Source organism: Homo sapiens, chromosome 2, assembly GCF_000001405.40.
Source record: "Homo sapiens chromosome 2, GRCh38.p14 Primary Assembly".
In the NCBI taxonomy this organism is placed as follows: domain Eukaryota; kingdom Metazoa; phylum Chordata; class Mammalia; order Primates; family Hominidae; genus Homo; species Homo sapiens.
Window position 1 is genome coordinate 98,839,418 of NC_000002.12, and position 23,013 is coordinate 98,862,430.

The 23,013-nt window shown below is 37.8% G+C and overlaps 1 protein-coding gene and 1 pseudogene across 9 annotated transcripts in view; both read right to left on the reverse strand.

The window, feature by feature from the left end:
• The window catches only part of CRACDL (CRACD like), a 142,380-nt gene that overhangs the window by 45,572 nt on the left and 73,795 nt on the right, over nucleotides 1-23,013 (reverse strand). For all 9 annotated transcript variants that reach the window (NM_207362.3, XM_005263926.4, XM_017003972.2 and 6 more), the window contains one exon: nucleotides 7,314-7,393. In NM_207362.3, coding sequence (NP_997245.2) covers nucleotides 7,314-7,383 — 70 coding nt within the window. In that variant the 5' untranslated portion in view covers nucleotides 7,384-7,393. The remainder of the gene's footprint in view (nucleotides 1-7,313; nucleotides 7,394-23,013) is intronic.
• RNU7-46P (RNA, U7 small nuclear 46 pseudogene) lies at nucleotides 1,263-1,318 on the reverse strand (annotated as a pseudogene).

Consider the following 23,013-nt stretch of genomic DNA (forward strand, 5'->3'; position numbering starts at 1 on the left):
TTTGAAAGATTCTTAAGAGTTTTCTGCATTTGGTCAGGACACCCTGTGGCTTTTGCCTAGTCAACAAATTGGTATGCATCCTCGAAGGCCTGAATAGATACACAGCCTCAATATCATGACCATCAAAAATGCTGCTTACAGCATTAATGGTCTCCTCAAGTGTAACTGGCAGAGCTCAAGCATAACTGCTGTACACCTTTGTTCCACTGGCAGGGCTTAGCCATCCATTTGTTCAAACTATATTTCTTCTCCTACTAGGCTTTGTAATTCGATTTCTTTAATGGTGACAGGACTAGTCCATTTTTCTACTTCCTGAATCTGTTTTTTTAAGTAACATTTTTCTGAAAATGTATTTTTTCCAAATTTTCAAATGTATTGGCAAAAAATTATTAATAATATCTTTTTATCTTTCAAGCATTCACAACATCTATAGTGATTGATGCCTCTTTTCTCACCCTGATATTAATTATCATAAATGTGCCTCTTCTTTGTTCCTTGATCAATTGCACCACAGGCTTATCAATTTTAATTGCCTTAAAAAAGTTTTGCTTTGTTAATTCTTTCAGTTGAATGTTTATTTCATATTGTATTAATTTCTGTTCTTATCTTTATTCTTTCCTTCCTACTTTCTGCAGGTTTACTTTGCTATTTTCTTAAACTTCTTGAGATAAACATTTGGTTTATTACTTTTTAGACTTTCCTGTTTTTATAATATAATATTTAAGGCAATGCATTTCCCTCTAAGTCTGTTTTAGCTGCATCTACGTGTTTTAAAATGCAGTATTTTCATTATTGTTTGGTCAAAAATATTTTCTAACTTCTATTATGATACCTTCTTAGACTTACGGGTTATTTAGGAAAGTACGTCTTCTTCATTTCCAAGCAGTTGAGGATTTTCTATCTGTTATTGATTTCTAGCTTAATTGCACTGTGGTCCAATAACATACTCTGAATGATTTGAACCCATTCAAATCTGTTGATACTTGCTTTATGGCTTACCATATGAACAATTTTTAAAAATGTTCCTGGTGTGCTTGAAAATAATGCATTTTCTTCAGTGTTCTACATATGTCAATTAGAACAAAATCTTTTTTTTAAATTGTGTTGTCCAAGTATTTTATATCTTTACCGATTTTTAAAGCGTTTGTTTTATCAATTACTGAGAGAGATGTGTTAAAAATAACCCCACTCTGCTTATAGATTTTCTTATTTATCTTTAGTTGTCAATTTCCACTTTACAACTTTATTTGTTGGGGAGGTTGCTTTCCTGCAAAAACCGGAAAGCCTTCTAGACAAATTCTAAAAGAGCTGTAATACAACTTTCTATAATATGTTAATGCATAGAAATGTAAAATTATTATCTTGCTGGGGAAATGAACATTTTGTGAAATGGCCCTTTTTATGTTTAGTTATGTTTTTTGCCTTACATTTCATTTTGACTGCTATTAGTACAGGTCGATCAGACCAAATCTGAAAATCTGAAATGCTGCAAAATCTGAAACTTTTTGAGCTCCCACCTGATGCTTAAAGGAAATGCTCACTGGAGCATTTCAGACTTTGGATTTTCAAATTTGAGACCCTCAACTGGTAAGCATAATGCAAGTATTCCAAAATCTGAAAAAATCTGAAATCTGAAACACTCCTGATCCCAGCATTTTGGATAAGGGATACTCAATCTGTGTAGCTACACCATCTTCCCTTTACCCAGTGTTCACAAAGTATAGGCTTCTGTATCCTATTACTATCCTTACTTTTCTGAACCTTTATAGTTAAGATTCATATATTTAGAGTTTTGGTATCTAATCTAATAATCTTTAACTCTTAACTGGAACAATTAATGTAATTAATTAATTTAACTAGTCCACTCACACTCACTGTAATTACTGATATATTAATAAAAACAAGTCTATCATCTTATGTGTTTTTTAATTGATCTTTAAAAAAAATTCCATTTATTCCATTGCTAGTTTATAACCCTTACCTTTTGCTTCCTCTTTCAGTGGTTATACTACACATTTGATTACAGGTCAATACAAGGACCTTCGAATACTTTAATTCCATTTTTATGCACTATTGTTTTAATTCTGATTGTTAAAAAAAACCTCGAAGTTATTTCATGTTCACACAGGTGTATCCACTTGCTTATTGTTTTCTTTGCTCTTCATTCCTTCTCATATTCCAGATTGTCCACTAGGAAGATCTTCCTTTGGCCTGAGGGTGCATTTGTGTAGAATCTGTTTTACTGGGGGCTTACTGGGGCCAACCCAGTTTTTGTTTGTCCGAAAATGCTTTCATTTCTCCATCACTCCTGAAATACATTTTTTCCTAGGTATAACGTTCTATTAAGTTGGTGCAAAAGTAATTGCAGCTCTTGCCATGACATTTAATGGCAAAAACAGCAATTACTTTTGTACCAGCGTAATAGTTTGGCAGTTACTTTTCCTAAGGATATTTAGGCTATTATTTCCCTGTTTTGTGGCTTCTATTGTGTTGAGAAGTTAGGCATAAGTTACTTTTTTGCTCCTGTCCAGGTAATCTGTCTCTTTTTCTCAGACTCATTTTAAGATTTTTCATCCTCTTTGGTTTTCTGCAGTTTTACCTCATATGGATTTTCTTTGATTTATCCTTCTTGGGATTCATTGGGTTTCTTAAACCTGTGGGTTGGGTCATCTTTTTGATAAAATCCAGAAAATTCTCAGCCCTTCTCTCCTCCCGAGACTGTGCTCAAATGGGTATTACACCCTTTCACTTACTCTCTATGCCCCTTGTTCCCTTTCCTTTATTTTCCATCTTTTTACCATTCTATGGTACATTTTGCATAATTTCCTGTGATCTATCTTGAGCTGATGTAATCTGTTGTTATAACCACGCATTTTAATAATTACATTTATTTTACATAAATTTAATTTAAAATAAAATTTTAATAATTACATTTATTTTAAATGAACTTATTTAAAATAAAATTTTAATTATTACATTTATTTCTAAAAATTCCTTTGTTTTTCAAATCCGCTATACCTTGTAAAAAAAACTTATTTTTTAAATTACACACGGTAAAATTCATTCTTTTTGGTGTACATAGAGTTGTATAATTATCACCACAATCAAGATACAGGACTGTCCTCATGCTGCCCTTTTGTAGTCCAACATTCCCCGCTACCTTTAACCCCTGGCAACCACTTATAACTTCTCTGTTCCTATAATTTTGCCTTTTCTAGAATGTCATGTAGATTAAGTCACACAGTATGTCCCCTTTTCATTCCAGCTTCTTTCACTCAGCACAATGCATTAGAGGCTCACTCATGTTATACCAGATCAATAGCCTATTCCTTTTTATTGCTGAGTAGAACTCCATTGTGTGGATATACCAGTTTGTTGAACCATTTCAACCTGCTGAAAGACATCTGGGTTCTTTTCAGTTTTTAGCAATTATAAATAAGTTGCTATAGTTTGTGTGTGTGTGTGTGTGTGTGTGTGTGTGTGTGTGTAAACATAAGTTTTCACTGCCCAGTAAATACCTAGGAGTTGGATTGCTGAGTCATAGGCTAAGTGTATGTTTAACTTCACAAGGAGCTGCCAAAATGTTTTTCCAAAGTGGCTGTGCCATTTTGCATTCCTCCCTTCAATGCATCCTTATCAGCTCCTGTTGTTATGGTGGTTTTCTCCAGACGTTTAATACGTGTGTCCTGGTATCTCATTGCAGTTTTACTCTGCATTACCTAATGATTATAGATATTGAGCATTTCTTCATATGCTTCTTTGCCATTTTGTACATCTTCTTAGGTAAAGCATGATTTAAAATTTGCTCCCCATTTTGTAACTGAGTTATTTGTTTTCTTATTTTTGAATTTTGAGAGTTCTAAATATATGCTGGATGTAAGTCCTATATCAAGTGTGATTTATAAATATTTTCTTCTAGTCTGTGACTTGTCTTTTCATTTTCTTAAAAGTGTCTTTCACAGACCATATTTTAAAGTTTTGATGAAGTCCAATTTATACATTTTTTCCTTTTATGGATTCAGGTATTATATCTAAGAACCCTTGCCTAATCCTTGGTCATAACTATCTTCTGCTATGCTTTCTTTTAAAGGCGTTAGAGTTTTACATTTAGGTTTATGACACATTTTGAGTTAATTTTTGTATAATCTGTGAGGTATATTTGCATATGAATGTCCAATTGTTACAGCACCATTTGTTGGAATATTATCTTTTATCCAATGAATTGATTTTGCAATTTTGTCAAAATTAATTAACCATATTTGTATGGGTCTGTTTTTGAACTCTACTCCCTTCTGTCTCTGTGTATCTATCCTTTTGCCAATACCATACTGTCTTGATTACTGCAGCTTTATAGTAAGTCTTAAAAACAGGTAGTATGAAGCTTTCAACTTTATGTTTTTTCAAAATTGTTTTACCTATTCTAGTTCTTTGCTTCTTCACATACATTTTCAAGTCAGCTTGCCAATATCTGCAAAAAGTTTTGCTGGGATTTTGATTGCTTCATCTTTACCCCTCCTCCTCCCTGTTTCTGATGGGTTATTTCAAAAAAAATCATCCCAGGCACTATTATTATTTCACCTCTATGGACTTGGCTTTTTCCTAAATGAAAAAAATCTCTGACTCCTCATGGAAATCAAATTAAATTATTACTTGTCAGTATTCTTGCTACAGAATATTGAGCTAACTGTATGTCTGTCTTCCATAACTGACTTTTAAAGAGTGCACTGCAATCTCGGTATATTTGTGTAACAGTTCTAAGTGCTTTTTTGTATATGTTGTATAAACATGTCATCTATAAATAGAGATAGTTTTATTTCTTTCTTCCACCTCTCTGCCTTTTATTCCTTTCTCTGGCTTTATTGCACTGGCTGGGTGCTATGCCACTTTTCCCTGGATGTTTTAAAACTTTTTTATTATCTTCAAACATAGTATGCATAGTTGTTTTATAGGATGTATTTGGTAATTCTGATATTGATGCCTTCATGTGTCTGTTTCTCTTGTCTGCCTTCATGTGTGCATGGTGTTCTCCTTGTGTGCATATCTGTGGCCATAGTTCCCCTTTTCATAAGGACACCCATCATATTGGAGTAGGAGCCCACCCTATTCCAATATGATCTCATCTTAACAAATATGAGCCCACACTACTCCAATATGATCTCATCTTAACAAATTACATCTGCAATAACCCAGTCTTCAAGTAAAGCCACATTTGGAGATACTGGAGACTTCGACATATGGATTTGGTGGGAGCACCATTCAACATACAGCATGTTGGTTCTCATTCATAGTATCCTGTTGCCTTAGATGCCTGGTTATTACTGACTATATGCTTGTCATGATACTGAAAATATATTTTCTGTGATAATTTGAAGTCTAAATAGAAGGCACCTTCCTTTAGTGAATGTTATTTGCTTCTGAAAAGTACCTGGGTTTGCATCCAGTCTAGAAGCAATATTAATCAAGTTCAAGGGTTGAGGTTCTCTGAATTACCCAAATGATGCAAACTCAAGCTACAAATCTACAAAAGGGTTGGTTTACCCCTAGTTCACACCTACTCAGATTTGGTAGCTCCTTGGCTCCCCTTTATTGTAGAGAGTGTCTTCTATTAGACAGCCTACATTATACAGGCCTTGTCGTTTGATATTTGACCCTTGCTCTCACCTTCCACCCCATGAAGACATGAAAATTTCCAAGACTGGTAAATGATCTAAGGGCAAAGTGGCTTTTATACTCTGTTGTCTCTCCAGGTTGCCATTTTCCTTTTCTTTTCTTTCTTCTTCTTCTTTTTTTTTTTTTTGGAGGCAGGGTCTTGCTTGTTGCCCAGGCTGGAGTGCAGTGGCATAATCATGGCCCACTGTAGCATTAACCTCCTAGGCTCACACAATCCTCCCACCTCTGCCTCCCAAGTAGATGGGACTACAGGTGTGTGCCACCATGTCCAGCCAATTTTTAAATTTTTTTGTAGAGACAGAGTCTCACTATGCCCAAGCTGGTCTTGAACTCCTGGGCTCAAGCAATCCTCCCACCTCGGCCTCTCAGAGTGCTGGGATTACAGGTGGAAGCCGCTGTGCCTGGCCCATTTTCCTTTCAATTCTGGCCTTATTATTTCTTACTTTGAAAAATATTTTAAAGAATATTCTTATCTAGAATTTTAAATTTTAAGTGGAAGAGGGTTGGTCTGAATAACTTAAGATCACTATTTGAAAAAAAGAAAACTTAGTCCCTTTTCTTCAGTAACCTCTGTATGTATTCAGAACTAGCACTTATTGAGGTCATTTCAGGCTGATGAAATATTTATTCAAACATTTATTGTTTACAATAAGTAATAATTCAGTGTCCCATAATATGAGAAAATGTGAAACTCAATTTTTTTTCAGGGCTCATCTAAAAACCCTCACCTTATATTTGGATTTATTTGGTATCCATTGAAATGTGACAGAGGAAAAATGGTTCTAATATGAAATAATAAGAAAAAATCTATCTTTAATATCTGAAATGGAGTATTTGCTGAAATTAGTATCTGAAGCTAGTGGCTAGCAGCTAGGATTTAATATTATTGGGAGCTGTTTCTCCTGAACTATATCAAAGAAAATCACTACTGGCATTTTCAGTGTAAATAAGAGAGAGATGGAGGCCTTGGTCACCAAAATAAAGGGAGTATATGAATGGCAAATCTAGAGAAAAGGTACATTGTGGGGAGATTAATTTTTTAATGTCAATTTTACAACTCTATCAGGACATAAATAGCAATATTTGGATAACAGTAAACCAATGACATAATTGGAGAACTCTTAGAAAGTCTTATGAGATGGTGATTCATGGGCCTAGAACTCAGCTCAGCAGACAACATACTAAAGATCTCCTTCAGAACAAAAGTCATGAAGGAGAGGGATCAAAGGCTCTCTCCTGATGTAATTATTTTTTTACAGATGATCAGGCTATCAGGTACTTTGCTCAGCTTCCTACTGATGCCTTTGGATATTCTTAGATGGTGAATGAATCCATTTAGTACCTCTTCCTTTGCATTCAAGTCAGCCAAACATGGGGACATGCTTACCTCCAGAAAGGAGGAAAATGAGCTGAAAGGTCCCCGTGCTTGACACAGAAGCAGAGGAAATCTGCCCCGAGCAGCCTTAAATAATGTGCATGTGCCCCCAGTCACAGCGTGAAGGGCCTGGGGGTATCTGAGCACACTGGGAACTAAATCCCCACTTTTCATACAGAAAGCCCCAAAGGCCTGCCTCTGTCAGTCCCTCTCCCTGCCCCACAACAAAGCAAGTGCCCTCCCCAGAGCAGGGGAAGCAGGGCCTTACCTGTGCTGTCCTCCCCAAGGCCTTCTGCAGCCTCCCGAAGCTTAATGTCCATCACCCTTGTGGAAATCATGTCAAGCTCGCTGAAATTATATGGAAATTCACGTTAAAGAAACATGGTTAGCAGAAGTTACCAATGAGTGAAATGGTGTTCGTGACTGCATTTGCCATGATCTGGCCTGCACACACCCCAGCAAAGACAGTCCAGGGCAGAGTGCAGCACAGTACAGGCCAAAACCATATCCACAGCCACAAGATCAGTAACCGCATAAGCGTTTAATCACTGACTGGGGCAATTTAATGGAAAACAGATCACTGAAACAAATGCTTCACTAATTTACACACTGCAGATTAGGTTTCTTTCAAAAAAGCTTTTCTCAAATTATAAGAAATGATTTTTTTCTCTTGTTTACTACAGGAAGTTTGGAAAATAGAATGAAAATCACCCATAATCCAACCAACCAAGGATAACCACAGTTAATGTTTTCATTTCCTTCCAATAATTTTTTACGCAAATATTTTATCCACATGCACACATATCATATTAGGAAGCTTGACTTCCTGATTTTCTTACTTACACCACATCATTAAAATTATTCACGTGTTATTTTAATGGCTACCTAATATTTTGATATACTACTGTACCATTATTTATTTACATTGAAATTCTTTTTTGAATGCAATGAAAAATGTCAAACAGATACAAAAATATGAACAACATATAATGAACTCAAGGTATGGCTAATCTTGCTTCATCTTTACCCCCACACCCCATCCCACTCCTATGAGGTGATTTCTAAGCAAATCATCCCAGACATGATGATCATTTAATCCATATAAATTCAGCTGCTTCCTGAATAAAAAAATCCCTCACTCTTCATGGAAACCAAATGCATGATCACAGGTCAATATTCCTGCTACAGAATACTGAGCTAGTGGTGTCCATGCCTTCCATAACTGACTGTTACAGTATGCTCTACCTCCATATACTATCACACCATTTATTTAGAAAGCTATTTCTTACTGTTAGGTATGACGAATCCTCACACTTAAAAAGGGGGGCTTGAATATTTAACCAATTCACGTTTACCACTTGTACACAGCACAGAATGGGAAATGATGGGAGAAATGCAAAGAAAACACAAACAGAGAAAAGGATTTGCGGGTGTGTGCCCGAGTTGGCTCTAATATTTCGATTTCTTCTAATGTTCATCCTCCCTACCAGCCAATCCCTCAAAAGCTGAACAAAGTTTCACCAGCTCCAGCTCTCAATGTTCATACAATTTGGCTTCAAAAAAATGTCCGGTCTTGTGTCGGCTCTGCCAAAAACTCTTGGAACCTCACCAGATTTGACTCATGATCATGCTATCATTATCTATAAAATGAGGGTTGGACAGAAACAGTATTTTTCAAATCCTTTACCACTGTTTTAGGCTTCAAAGGACATCCTTGCTTTCATCATCTGTGTTCACATTCAAAGCAACAGACAATGCTATCAAACAGCAGAATGATAGTAGTTCTAGGCTGATGGCCCAACCCAAAGGCCCAGGTGTTCCAAAGGTCACCCCCTCAATCCCCCCTGCAATATGTTAGTCAGTCAGCAACCCCCTCATCCCCAAGAGTCCTTTAGAGGTGGTAGCTGCCGGGGATTCAATGGAAGAGGCAATGGAGAAGGAAAACATACGGTGTAAGGGGAAGAGTGAAGATGGTGAGGGTGGCCTAGGAGTCACCATCTGTTCCCCTCAGTGCCATCTCCTGAGGCTGCCACTGAGCTCTAGCTCAGTGCAAGAGTTTTCCATTGCCTGAATTTGGAGTTAACCATGGCAACTGCAAATTACTTATCAAGCATGCAGCTATCACCTGAATTATCTCATTTAATCCCCAAGAACTTTTAATATTCCCATTTTGGAGATGAGAACATTTTTAGCTCACTGCATCCTCAACCTCCTGGGCTCAAGAGATCCTCCCACCTCAGCCCCCCCACAAATAGCTGGGAACACAGGCCCACGCCACCACACTTGGCTAATTTTTTGTATTTTTTGTAGAAACGGGGTTTCGCCATGTTGGCCAGGCTGGTCTTGAACTCTTGAGCTCAAGCAATCTGCTTGCCTTGGCCTCCCAAAGTGCTTGGGATTACAGGTGTAAGCCACTGCACCCAGCAGAGAACATTTCTGATATTAAGCGGTTTATTAACTTGCCTAAGGTAGCAGAGCAGATATGGCGTCTACACTCACACTGACTGCATACCCAGCATGGGCAGGTGCTTCTGAGGCACTGGGATACAGTGACAGATGAGACCCACGTGGTTCCCACCTCTTGCAGGTGCTGACCCAGTGAAGGGCAGAGCCCTGAGCTGTCCCCAGTGGGGCTCAAGAGAAGCTGGAGAATCCAAAGGACAGGATCTCCCACTGAAATGGCTCTGCCTGCCAAGAAGCCTTACCCAGGGTCAGGCCAGAACTCAGAGGCTGGAGGAGCCCCGAGAGATCATGCACTGGGTCTGATGGGGTTTCTTCGTCTGGGGAAAGGAACCGGAGGCCACTGTGATGTGTCAGCTAACTGGGAAAGGATTAACACTCTGGAGAAACCATGATGTTACGCAACACATCAAGGTCATGTGGACACCTTGCAAATGAAAAGTGTCCTTGTTGGGAAGAACAAGGTGAGTGCCAGAGGTGTGTGTGAGAATGTGTATGAGCCCTGTGGGTGGGTGTGCAGAGGGGCACCCCCTCCTGCCAAGCCCGGATCAGTCCAGAGGCTCAGGCTTGCTTCTCCCTGGGTTGAAGGACATGGTTGTGAGAAAGCTGCACGGGGCAGAGGGTTCAGATGCAGATGTAGGCGGAGGGCCGGGGAGGGGGGAGCATGGGAGGGGATGCAGACTCACCTGTGTAGGTCCTTCCACCCTACTCTCAGCCAGAAGATGCAGACAGCACCCCCAGACCACCAAGACCACCAAGACCACCAGTGGACTCACACAAGGAGGCAAAGGTTGCCCACCGACAAAGGGACAACAAATGGATCTCATGTCACATGGAAGGTTTCAGAACCTACTCATGTTTTATGTCCCAAGCATCTTCATACAGATAAGAGCATAACATGGGGTGGAGGAAGGTGGCAAAAACTTGAATGTTAGGCAGTCCCGGGGTGGCATCTTCACCCTACCACCTACCAGTGCCAGGCCTCAGTATCCTCATAGGCAAAAGGAGGATAATAATACTATAATCAAATGAAACCAGGACATGGCATGCAGCAAGCACAAGCTGAGCCCTGCTGTCGGTTTCTGCAGCCCACTCCTCACCACCACGTGATACTGTTTATGGACAAAGGCTCCCAGAGCACACATGCCCGGCATGCCCTGGCAGCAGGTAAGCGCCAGTCTTCCAAGCAAATGGCTCACTTCAAAGTCACCATTGTCAGTCACAGGACAAACACCTGGCTTTCCAGCTGACCCCTGTGCTTCCTGATCCCCACCGCCCAATGGGCTCAAACCACTGCCAGGTAAGTGATGAAAACACGTTCAGGGTCACAGAGGAATGTCTGTCCGGAGTCCGCAGGCTGCAAAGGTGGAGAACTGTTTCCTTCATGTGGACATTCCAGGTGGAAACACCCCACAGCTGTGACAATGGAACATCATCTCTGTTGGGCCAAGTAACTCGCCTTTCTGAATATGCGTTCCCCAAGCCGCAGTAAAGTTCAAGGAAACGCCAGATGTAAAACCGTAATTAGAAAGGCAATGTGGCAAATACCCAATACCTCCCAGACCTCCTTTTGCTCCTCACACGAAGACAGTGCTTCTCACTGGAGCTCCAAGGTCAAGTCAGGCCACCTCAGTGTCCCCTCAACCAGCATCTGCCTTCCACCCTTCCACTCCTGGAGTTCTGAGAGCTCCAAGTCCAAGTTAAAGAAAACTTACTCTTTAAGCTAAATCTGGACCGCCAGGGCCTCTTCAGGGCTTCTAATGAACTTACCAGAGGGCTGAGCCTCCAGGCCCTGCTGCGGGGCACAGCACTTTGTCAGTGTGTATCTGGGCACCCACAGAATCCAAGGGAGTCCTGCATCTAAAAAGACCCCTTAATGTGGGGGCCGCCCCACTCCCTCTCCCTCCACCCTAACTGACCACAGCCTCCTTCCCAGCTTATAGCAGAGTTCTATCATTAGTCTCAGCTTCTATAGAAATATTTCTACAAAAGTTAATCCACATAAAGAATGAGAACAGATTTTAATATGGCATTTTAAAGGTTTCAATCCATTATATTTACCTACACAATGCAAAGAAAAATATCTGTACCCTGACTCCATACATCTGAGCACATAATTATGTATGAAAGCTTTAGTGTTCACCCTACAGATTCCCTAATCCCACACCACTCTCCAGGCTGTTTGGACCCCTGTGGATTCTTTCTTAGCTCCCGGTACCGTTCTTTCACATTGCTCACCAAGGTTGTCATCAATAACTTGTTTGGGAGGTGTCTGCTGAACATCCCTTCCTCCCAAGGCTGTGGGTTTTGAGGGGTGAGTGCTATGCCTATTATATTCACTGCTCTTTTACCAGTACCCAGGACAGTGCCCGACCAGAGAACTGAACAGATCACACCAAACAAGAGAACTGACAAACTAGAGGGGCTTCTGGGTATTAGAATCCTTTCAGATCTTTGAATATCAATTCATTTAACCTCAGAGAGCTGTAGAGAGACCCAGAAAGAGTGACTCTTGGTTCACCTTTCCCTTATCAGTTTGAAGAGGTGATTTAATCTACCTGAGGTCAGCGTTAGGGAAGACAGGGAAAACACCCACCTTTATTCAATCTTTACACCTCCCTTTCCAACAGTGCTTTCCCTCACTTTCTTCCCATAGCAGGGTTCTGCCATCTACCCTGCATCACCTTCTCCAGGGTCTCTGTACCCACCAACTTTCAGGTCAGTATCAGCAGTGATGCCCTCTCAGAGCTAAGTATTTTAAATAGAAAACTCCAATGAAAGAAAATAAGTGCCAACATAGATTCTAAACTCCAGAAAAATATCCTTCAAATTTAAAGGTAGGTTAGACTTCCAAGTGGTAGAGTAGCCTACACCACAGTAAAACTTTCCACTGATGATAAGTATAAACTGTGGAGAAAAGATGAAAAACAATCATTTGAAGGCAGTTATGAGCAATTGAAAGCAGAAATTAAAGTGGAATCAACTCTTCTTTTCTTTTTTATTATTTTTTAGTTTTTTATTTTTGGAATCAACACTTAAAAAAAGGGAATTGCAGTAGGAGTGATTTATGTGTGTAGGGCTTTTGACCTGGAAAAGCTCTCAGGTATGTGTGTTGTGGAGTGGCTGGAGCTCAAATACAAAGCCATAATCTTATGGGCTTGATGAATCCAAGAATGGAATTTAGGGCTGCCAGAGCAGATGGAAACTGAGGGAGAATATCTTAGGAAGGAAAAAACTTCAGAGAGAGGAGCACCAAAATCCACATGTAAACCCTATCCTAATTCTTGGCTCCCCTCCCCTGAATTCTGCACATACTGGGGAGACTCCAAGGAACCAGGCAGAAGATAACAGCTGGGAGGCTGAGGGAAATGAACTAAGATTTTTCTACTGCTCACTGCAGGAGAGACAGAGTTCACAGGTAACAAACAGCCTGCTAGAACAAAATCAATAATCTTCGGGACAGCATAGGTTCCAGAGTTCCTATGAAATATCATTTACAATGTCTACCATATAATCAAAATTTACAAAACATGCAAAGAAATAGGAAAATATGACCCATAGTCATGAGAAAAAAAACACCTAAGAAAGAATAATCCTGAGTGACCAAAATGCTTAAATAGCCAACAAAGACTTTAAAGAAGCTACTTAAAACAAAAATGTAGCCATAATATATAAAAAGATAAAGAATTTCAAATTAGAAACATACAATATAAAGAAGAAACACATGGAAATCATCAAGATGAAAACTGTAATTTCTAAAATAAAATATTTATTAAATGGGCTTAACAGCAGATTGAAGACATCAAAAGAAAGGATCAATCAAATTGAAGAGAGATCAATAGAAATGATCCAATCTGAAGAACAGAGAGAAAAAGACTGGGAAAAAAGTGAATCTGAACACAGCCTCAGTGACCAGTGGTGCAGTATTGATTGGTCTAACATATATTTAATTGAGTCCCAGAAACAGGGAGTGGGGGGAGTGTGAAGAAGCAGGAGAGAGAAAGAGGGAAAAGGAGAGAGAAGAAGGAAGGAGAGGGAAGGGGTGGGTGCGGGAGAGAGAGAGAGAGAGGGAGGAGAGGGGAGGGGAGGGGAGGGGAAGGGAAGGGAAAGGGAAGGGAAGGGGAAAGGGAAGGGGGGGCATTAAAAATATTTGGAGAACTTACGAATAAACATTTCTCCAAAATGGTGGAAAAGATAATGTTACAGATCTAAGAATCTTAGCAAACTCCAAGAAAACCACAACAAGGCACATCATAGACCTCACAGAAGTGTGGAACACAGCATAGTGTACTAAAACCAAAGATGAAGAGGAAATCTTGACAACAGCCAGAGAAAAATGACACATCATAAACAGGCAAACAACAATATAAATGACCAACAATGGATAAGAAAAGCCAACAGAATAGTCTCTTTAAAGTGCTGATAGAAAACAAAGAACAACCCAATATTCTATATCCAGAAAAATTATCCTTCAATAATGAAGGCAAAATATAGACATTTTTAGATAAGTGAAAAGTACTTTCACTTATCTAAAAAGTGATATGTACTACACTTTTCTAAAAAGTGATATGTACTGCAGATATGTACTACAGGAAATGCAAAACAAAAGTTTTTTAGGATGAAAGAAAATTATACCAGATTGAAATTGAAAGCTATAGAAAGAATGAAGCATAATGAATGTGGTAAATATGTGGGTAAATATTAAAAAGTACGTGTTTTTCTTTTCTAAATTTATTTAAATGCATATAACAACTAAAAAAACTATTATGAATTTACAATGTATGTAGATGTAATATGTGACTATAACATAAAGGTAGGAGTTGTATGTATGACTAGACTATCACAAGGTTCTGGCATTTTACGTGAAGTGGTACAAGACTAACTCTAAACAGACAGTCACAATTTCAGAATTAATACTGTGATCCCTAGAGAAAACACTAAAAAATTTAATGCAAAGAAGTTTAGCTAAAACGCTAAAATAAAATTTATAATGGAACACCCAAAAATTCAATTAACCCCAAAAAAGGCAGAACAGAGGAACAAAACAAATAGGAAGAACAGAGGAACAAAAACAAAACCAAGCTGGCGCAGTGGCTCACACCTGTAATACCAGCACTTTGGGAGGCCGAGGTGGGTGGATCACGAGGTCAGGAGTTCGAGACCAGTCTGGCCAACATGGTGAAACCTCATCTCTACTAAAAATACAAAAATTAGCTGGGCGTGGTAGTGGGCACCTGTAGTCCCAGTATTCGGGAGGCTGAGGCGGGAGAAGTGCGTGAACCCGGGAGGCAGAAGTTGCAGTGAGCCAAGATCATGCCATTGCACTCCAGCCTGGTGAGAGAGTGAGACTCTGTCTCAAAAAAAAAAAAAAAAAAAAAGAAAGAAAAGAAAACCAGATGGGATACATTAAAAAGTTGAAAAATGATAAATATTAAATAAAAAATATATAAAGCTTCTAAAAAATCATCAGAACCTATCTACTTGACCTTGAGATAAGCAAAGATGTCTTACAGATGCCTAAAAAAACCATAAAAGAAAAAATTTATAGTTTGCACTTCATCAAAATGAAATACTTCTGCTCATCAAAAGACAATGTTAGAAAAATGAATAGGTAAGTGACTGGTAGAGAGAAAATATTCGTAAAAAATATCTTACAAAAATAAAACCACTTGTATCTAGCATGTATAAAGAATCCCTAGAACCCAATAAATGAAATGCAAACAATCCCCTGCCTTAAACTTGGGCAAATGATTTGAAATATATGCAAATAGCCAATAATGAAACGTCACATGAAAAAGAATATAATTAAGGAAACATCAGACAAACCCAAATGAGAGACATTCTGTAAAATAACTCTCTAGTACTATTAAAAACATGTCAAGGACAGGAGGAAGGCCAAGAAACCATTTCAGAATAGAAGCAATATATGATCCAGGACTGGAGAATGAGGAAGTGCTATAAAAGCCATTACTGGGACAAATGACAAAAGTTACATATGGACTGTGGATTACATAATAACATCACATCAACTTAAAGTTTGCTGATTTTGATCATTGTAACTATGATTATTAAAAAGAATGTTCTTGGCTGGGTGCGGCGGCTCACGCCTGTAATCCCAACACTTTGGGAGCCCAAGGCAGGTGGATCACGAGTTCAAGACCAGCCTGGCCAACATGGTGAAACCCCATCTCTACTAAAAATACAAAAATTAGCTGGGCATGGTGGCGCATTCCTGTAATCCCAGCTACTTGGGAGGCTGAGGCAAGAGAATTGCTTGAACTGGGACTTGGGAGGCAGAAGTTAGGGTGAGCCAAGATCACACCACTGCACTCCAGCCTGGGCTACAGAGCAAGACTCCATCTCAAAAAAAAAAAAAAAAGTTCTTGTTCTTTGGAAGTACATATGTGATTTTCTGAGCTCACTAATAGTCCAAAAAATGTTACAAACATATAGATATATATGTTCTTTATATAAACATACAAAGAAATAAGGATATATCACGAGGCAAAATGTGAAAAATTGGTAAATCTGACTAAAAATTATATGATAAATTCCTTCACTATGTAACTTTTCTGTAAATTTGGTATTATATCAAATAAAAAGTTATACAAAAGTTATCCAAAAAAAAGGGAAGCAGTAATTTCAGAATGGTAGTGTGAAGAATTTGGTGAAAAGTCTGACTCATACACAGGGAAAAAAGCAGGCAATAGAAACTGCCTTTAAGAGGGCACAGGTGTTGAACTCCTCAGACAAAACCTTCAAAGCAGCTATTATAGATATGCTCAAAGAAATAAAGGAAGACATGCTTAAAGAGTTAAAAGAAGGGATGATTACAGCTTATCAAATTGAGATTATTAAAAGAGGTAGAAACTATAAAAATAAACAAACTGAAAATTCTTGAGTTGAAAAGTACAATAAGTGAAATGAGAAAATTCACTGAAGAGGCTCAACAGGAGATTCGAGTTGGCACAATAAAAAAATCAGCAAATTAAAAAATAGATCAATAGAGATTATGCAATTTGAAGGAAAAAAATGAACAGAGACTCAGAAAAATTCAAAACATCATTAACTATACAAATATTCAGAATGGGAGTCCCAAAGGAGAGGACAGAGAAAAATGTAGAAAAATGATTCTCTGAAATAATAGCCAAAAACTTTCTAAATTTGAGGAAAAACAGTAATCTACATATCCAAGTAGCTCAAAAATCTTCAAGTAAGATAAACACAGAGAACTGCTCACAGACACAGAGTGAAAATGTGAAAGCTAAAGATAAGGAGAAAAACTTGAAAGCAGCAAGAGAAAAGAGTTATATAGTTGAAAATCATCATAAAATTTACAGCTAATTTCTTATCAGAAACATTGGAGACCAGAAAGCAGTAGGGTGACATATTCAAAGTACCAAAAGAAAAAAATTTCAACCAAGAATTCTGTATCCAACAAAGCTATATTTCAAAAATGAAGATGAACTAGAGATATTCAAGAAAAACAAAAACTGAGATGATTTCTTGCTAGCAGACCTGTCTTACAATAAATATTAAAGGAAGTTCTTCTGGCCAAAAGCAACACCAAGCAGTAACTTGAATCTACACAAAAAATCAGAGGCATCAATAAAGGTAATTTTGTAGGGAATTATAAAAGACAGTGTAATTGAATATTTCTTCTCATTTTTTTTATAGCTGATTCAAAAAGCAATGGCATAAAATGGTATTAAAATTGCATTGTTGGGACTATAATGTATAGCAATGTAGTATATTTGACAATAACAACAAAAAGGAGGAGGGTAGAAATGAAATTTTGTAAATTTTTAAAACTTCATATTTTCCTGATGCCTCAACGTCCTCACAAACAGGCTGTGAACATCATGCCCAGGCAACCAGGTGTACCAGTGTGAGAAGGATGGTCCCTGCAACAAGTTCCCCTTCTTGTCCCCTGACTATGACCTAGTGACATTCAACATGCAAATGAACCAGTAAGATCTTCTCATGATTCTTTTATTAGGAGTCATGATACCCTGACCCCTAATAAAAGCACTTGCCCAGGGATCCACACTGTTACTTATCTCTCCACCTGCTCTGTTGAGTCTGCTCCCTAGGAGCTCCTCCAATATGATCCCATGCATGGTGTGGCATGCCATGCCTCCTTCTCTAGGACCTGCAAGTATAATAAATCCTTTAATGGCATCTGTCTCTCCAGGTGCAATTTGCATAGTCATGTTGGAATGATCCTTAAACACCCTAAAAGGGGAACTTATTACCCCGTTTACAACACAGCTACATTGGAGTAAGAAAATGACATCAGATGGTAACATGATCCACAGGAAAAAGAAAGAAAAACAAAAATGGTAAGAGGTTGATATATTTTGTACAGACTCTATGAATATATTTTTGTTCTCTCTTCTATTAGTTTCTTTAAAAGACAGAAAATGATATAAAAATATAATTATTGGGCCTATGACAAACATAGATGTAATATGTACAACAATAATAGTACAACAAATAGAGCAGGGAATAAAACTACTAAGGAGTAATGTTTTTATATCTTACTGGAACTAAATTAGTATAAATCTTAAATTGATTCTGATATATTAAGATGTATATTATAAGGCCTAGATCAGCTACTAAAAAATAACAGAAGAAAATAGAATTAAAAATCAATAAGAAATTAAAAGGTATGACTGACAATATACACTTAAAGGGAAGTAGTAAAGAAGTCACAGAAGAACAAAGTACTCTGATATAAATAGAAAACAAAAAGCAAAATGGAATTTGTAGATTTAACCATACCAACGACATTAAATGCAAATGGTTTAAATAATCAATACCAGATAGAACAAATAAGCAGAAAATCAACAGTGATATAAGAGACTTGAACAACCCTATAGAACAACTAGACCAAAGATGTGTGTATGTATGTATGTGTATGTGTATGTGTGTATATATATGCATATCTATCTTATCTCCCTATGGAACATTAACAATGATACCATATGCTCAGCCATAAAACAAAACAAAATATATTTAAAGGAATTTAGTTCATGCAAAATATATTCTCTAACCACAACAGAATCAAATTAGAAATCAAAAACAGAAAGAATTTTGGGAAGTTCATAAATAAGTGGAAATTATGCGATGAACTCCTAAATAACAAATGAGTCAAAGAATAAATTACATGAAAAATTATAAAGTCCTTTGAGATGAATAAAAACAAAACCACAACATACCAAAACATATGTGATGCAGATAAAACACTGCTTGGAGAAAAGCTGTGCTTATAAACACCTACGTAAAAAAGAAGAAAAGGCTGGGTGCAGTGGTGCCTGCCTATAATCCCAACACTGTCTGTAATCCCAACACTGCTGAGGCAGGCGGATCACATGAGGCCAGGAGTTCCAGACCAGTCTGGCCAACATGGTGAAACCCCATCTCCACCAAAAATACAAAAATTAGCTGGGTGTGGTGGCCCATTCCTGTAATCCCAGCTACTTGGGAGGCTGAGGCATGATAATCTCTTGAACCTGGGAGGTGGAAGTTGCAGTAAGCCCAGATCGCACCACTGCACTCCAGCCTGGGTGACAGAGTGAGACTCTGTCAAAAAAAAAAAAAAAAAAAAGAAGAAGAAAAATCTCAAATCGCTATCATAACTTTCCACTATATAAAACTAGAAAAAGAAGGGCAATCTAAACTGAAAACAAACAGAAGAAAGGACAAAATAAATATTGAGCAAAAGGTAATAAAATAGAAAATAGAAAAACATTTTAAATAATCAATGCAACAAAAAGTTGGTTCTTTGAGAAAATCAATAAAATGAACAGACCTATCGCTCTACTAACCAAGAGTAAAAGAGAGAAGATTCAAATTGCTAAAACCAATAATAAGAAGGCATCACTACCAACCTTACAGAAATAAAAAGCATGTATTTTAAGGGAATATTATGTATTACTGTATGCCAAAAAATTAGACAACCTAGATGAAATAGACAAATTCCTAGAAAGACACAAACTACTGAATCTAAGCCAATAATAAAAAGAAAGTTTGAATAGACTTATAATAAGAAAAGAGATTAGTAATTGTAAAACTTTCCACAAAGAAGAATCCAGCTCCAAATGTCTTCATTGGTAAATCCTATCAAACACTTAAAGAATTAACAGAAACCTTTCCCTTCACAAACGCCTCTCAAAAATATAAGAACAGGTGACACTTTCCAGCTCATTGTGAAGCCAGTATTACCCTAATACCAAACCCAAAGACATCACAATAAAAGAAAATTATAGACCAATATCTCTTATGCATATAAACACAAAAATTCTCAACACAATACTAGCAAGCTAAATCCAGTAAGATATAAAAGTGAGTTTTACCTCAGGAATACAGGTTGGTTTAACACATGAAAACTAATTAATGCAAAAGCCATATTAATAAAATAAAGGACAAAAATCACATGATCACTTTAATGGAGGTATAAAAAATAAAGATGCAAAACTCCTCAACAGAATACTGGCAAAAACAACCCAGCAACATATTAAAGAGATTACACAGCATGACCAAGTAGGATTTGTTGAAGAATGCAAGGTTGGTTCAACATACATATGAAAAATCAATGCAATAAACCATATTAATGGAAAACTGACAACTATTACATTATTATCTCAGTAGATACAGAAAAAGCACTTGACAAAATCCAACATCGCTTCATGATACAAACACTCAAACAAACTAGGAATTGACAAACGCTTCCTCAGCATGACAAAGGGCATCTATGAAAAACCTACAGCTTACATCATACTCAGTGGTGAAAGACAGAATGCTTTTCCCCGGAGATAAGAAAAAAGACAAGGACATCTACTGTCACACTGATAATCAACTTTGTACTGGAGATTCTTGACAGGGCAAGCACTTAAGAGAAAGAATAAAAAGCACTGAGATTGAAAGGGAAAAAATTAAATTATTTCTATTTGTAGATGACATGATCATGCACATAGATAATGTTGAGGGATCCATTAAAACACTATTATAACTAAAGTTTGCAAGGTTTCAGGATTTAAGACCAATACAAAAATAAAACCAATTGTATTTCTACATACTAGCAATGAACAATCCACAGACAAAATTAAGAAAACAAACAACTGCATTTAAAATACTATCCAAAAGAACAAAATAGGAGTAAGTTTAACCAAGGAGGTAGAACACTTGTACACTGAAAATAACAACGTTGAAAAAAAATTAAAGAAGACATAAATAGATGGAAAGATATCCTGTGTTCATAAATCAGAAGACAATATTATTAAATGGCAGTATTCCCCAAACTGATTTACAGAATCAATGCAACCTTTATCAAAATCTCAGCTGGATTTTGGGCAGAAAGTAACAAGCTGATCTGAAAATTTATGTGGAAATGCAAGGGACCTTGCAAAGTCAAAATAATCTTGAAAAATAACAAAGATGGAGCATTCACACTTTCCATTTTCAAAACTTACTACAAAGCTACAGTAATCAGGACTGTACTGTACTGGCATATTGGTAGACATATAGTTCAACAGAAATAAACACATACTCTTATGGCCAATTGATTTTCAATGAGGGTGTCAAGACAACTCAATGGAGGGATATCATCTTTTCAACAAACCGGGCTGGAACAAGTAGACATCGACATGCAAAAAATAATGTGTACTCTTACCTCACACTGGTTACATAAAAATTACCCCAAAATGGCTCATAGATCTAAATTGTAAGTGCTAAAACTATAAAGCTCTTAGAGGAAAACAGGAGTAAGCCTGTCATTTTAGGTTAGGCAATAATTACTCAGATGTGACATCAAATGCATCAAAAGAGAAGATAGGTAAGTTTGACTTCAACATTATAAGATTTTAATTCAAAGGACTCTCAAGAAACTGTAAAGACAACAGACTAGGGAAAATACTTGTATATCATCTATCTGATACAGGATTGGTATGCAGAACATGGAAAGAATTCTTATAACTCAATAATAAAAAGATATCCCATTTAAAAACAGACAAAGGATTTGAACATAACTTGCACAAAGAAGGCAAACTTACACAAAGAAGGCATAAAGTAGGCAAATGAATGGCTAATAAGTGCATGAAAAGATGCTCAACCCTCTTAGTCACTAGAAAATTGTAAATAAAAACCATAGTGATGGCTCATGCCTGTAATCCCAGCACTTTGGGAGGCCAAGGCGGGTGGATCACTTGAGGTCAGGAGTAGGAGACCAGTCTGGCCAACATGGTGAAACCCCATCTCTACTAAAAATACAAAAATTAGCTGGGCGTGGTGGTGCATACTTGTAATCCCAGCTACTTGGGAGGCTGAGGAAGGAGAATCGCTTGAACCTGGGAGGTGGAGGTTGCAGTGAGCTGAGATCATGCCACTGCACTCCAGCGTGGGTGACAGAGCAGGTCTCAAAAACAACAACAACAACAACAACAAAACCACAGTGAGTTACTACTTCATACTCACTAGAATGACTATAATAAAAGAGATAGATAATAACAAGCGTTGCAAGGATGTGAGGAAACTGGAGCCTTCATTCATTGCTGGTGGAAATGTAAAATGTAGCAGGTACTTTGGAAAAGCTTGGCAGTGCCTCAAAATGTGAAACGTAAAATTACCATTCAGCCCAGCAATTACATTCCTAGATATCTACCTCAGGGAAATAAAAACATATGTCCATGAAAGATTCTGAGAAAACGTTAGTATAGAAAGCACCAGGAATCTGTTTCCCCACTGTTTCTGCTAGTGCAATTGCACTAGCAGAATCTGTCTGATGTAATTATTTTGAAACTCTGGAGTCAACTGAAGGCTTGCAACTTCCAAGGGAAGGACTGGGGGGTACATTGTGGTTAATTTCTGCCCATTTCTGCTCTTAGCACAGTAGCATCCACCCATCCCCCCACTTCTCCATGCATGTGTTCCAGGAGCAGCTTGTATGCAGCTTGCAGAAGCCAGTGTAAGCAAAAGGGACCCTGTCCTCCAAACACTAGGGATCTGTCCTCTGGCTGTTGCTTCTGATAACAGAGGTGCAGACAAAGAGGTGGCAGCCATTGTTGTTGCACCTCTCCCCATTGTTACAAGACTCCCTCCAGCCCCAGGTGACTCCCTGCAGATTTAATGGGCTGGTACCCTTTTTCTTCCTTCACTTTTCTTGTTTCTCATTCTCGGAGCCAGATATCAAAGACTAGGTCACTCAAAAGCAACTACATAAGGGGAGATTAGAAAGTCACCATGCATGCCTGCAAAAAGGCTCAGTCTCAGGAAAGATCTGGGAAGGCCTTAAGTTTATACTTCAGGCTGATCATCAGCACTAAGACTGCCTGCAACAATTAAAACAAACAAACAAAACCCAAAAATCCAAACCAGCAAACCCTGGGAAAAGGACAGAAGCTAATTTCCAGAGTTACCATACTATTAGACTCAAATATCCAGTTTTCCACAACAAAAAATCACAAGGCATACAAAGGAACAGGAAAGTATGGACCATCAAAGGAAAAAAA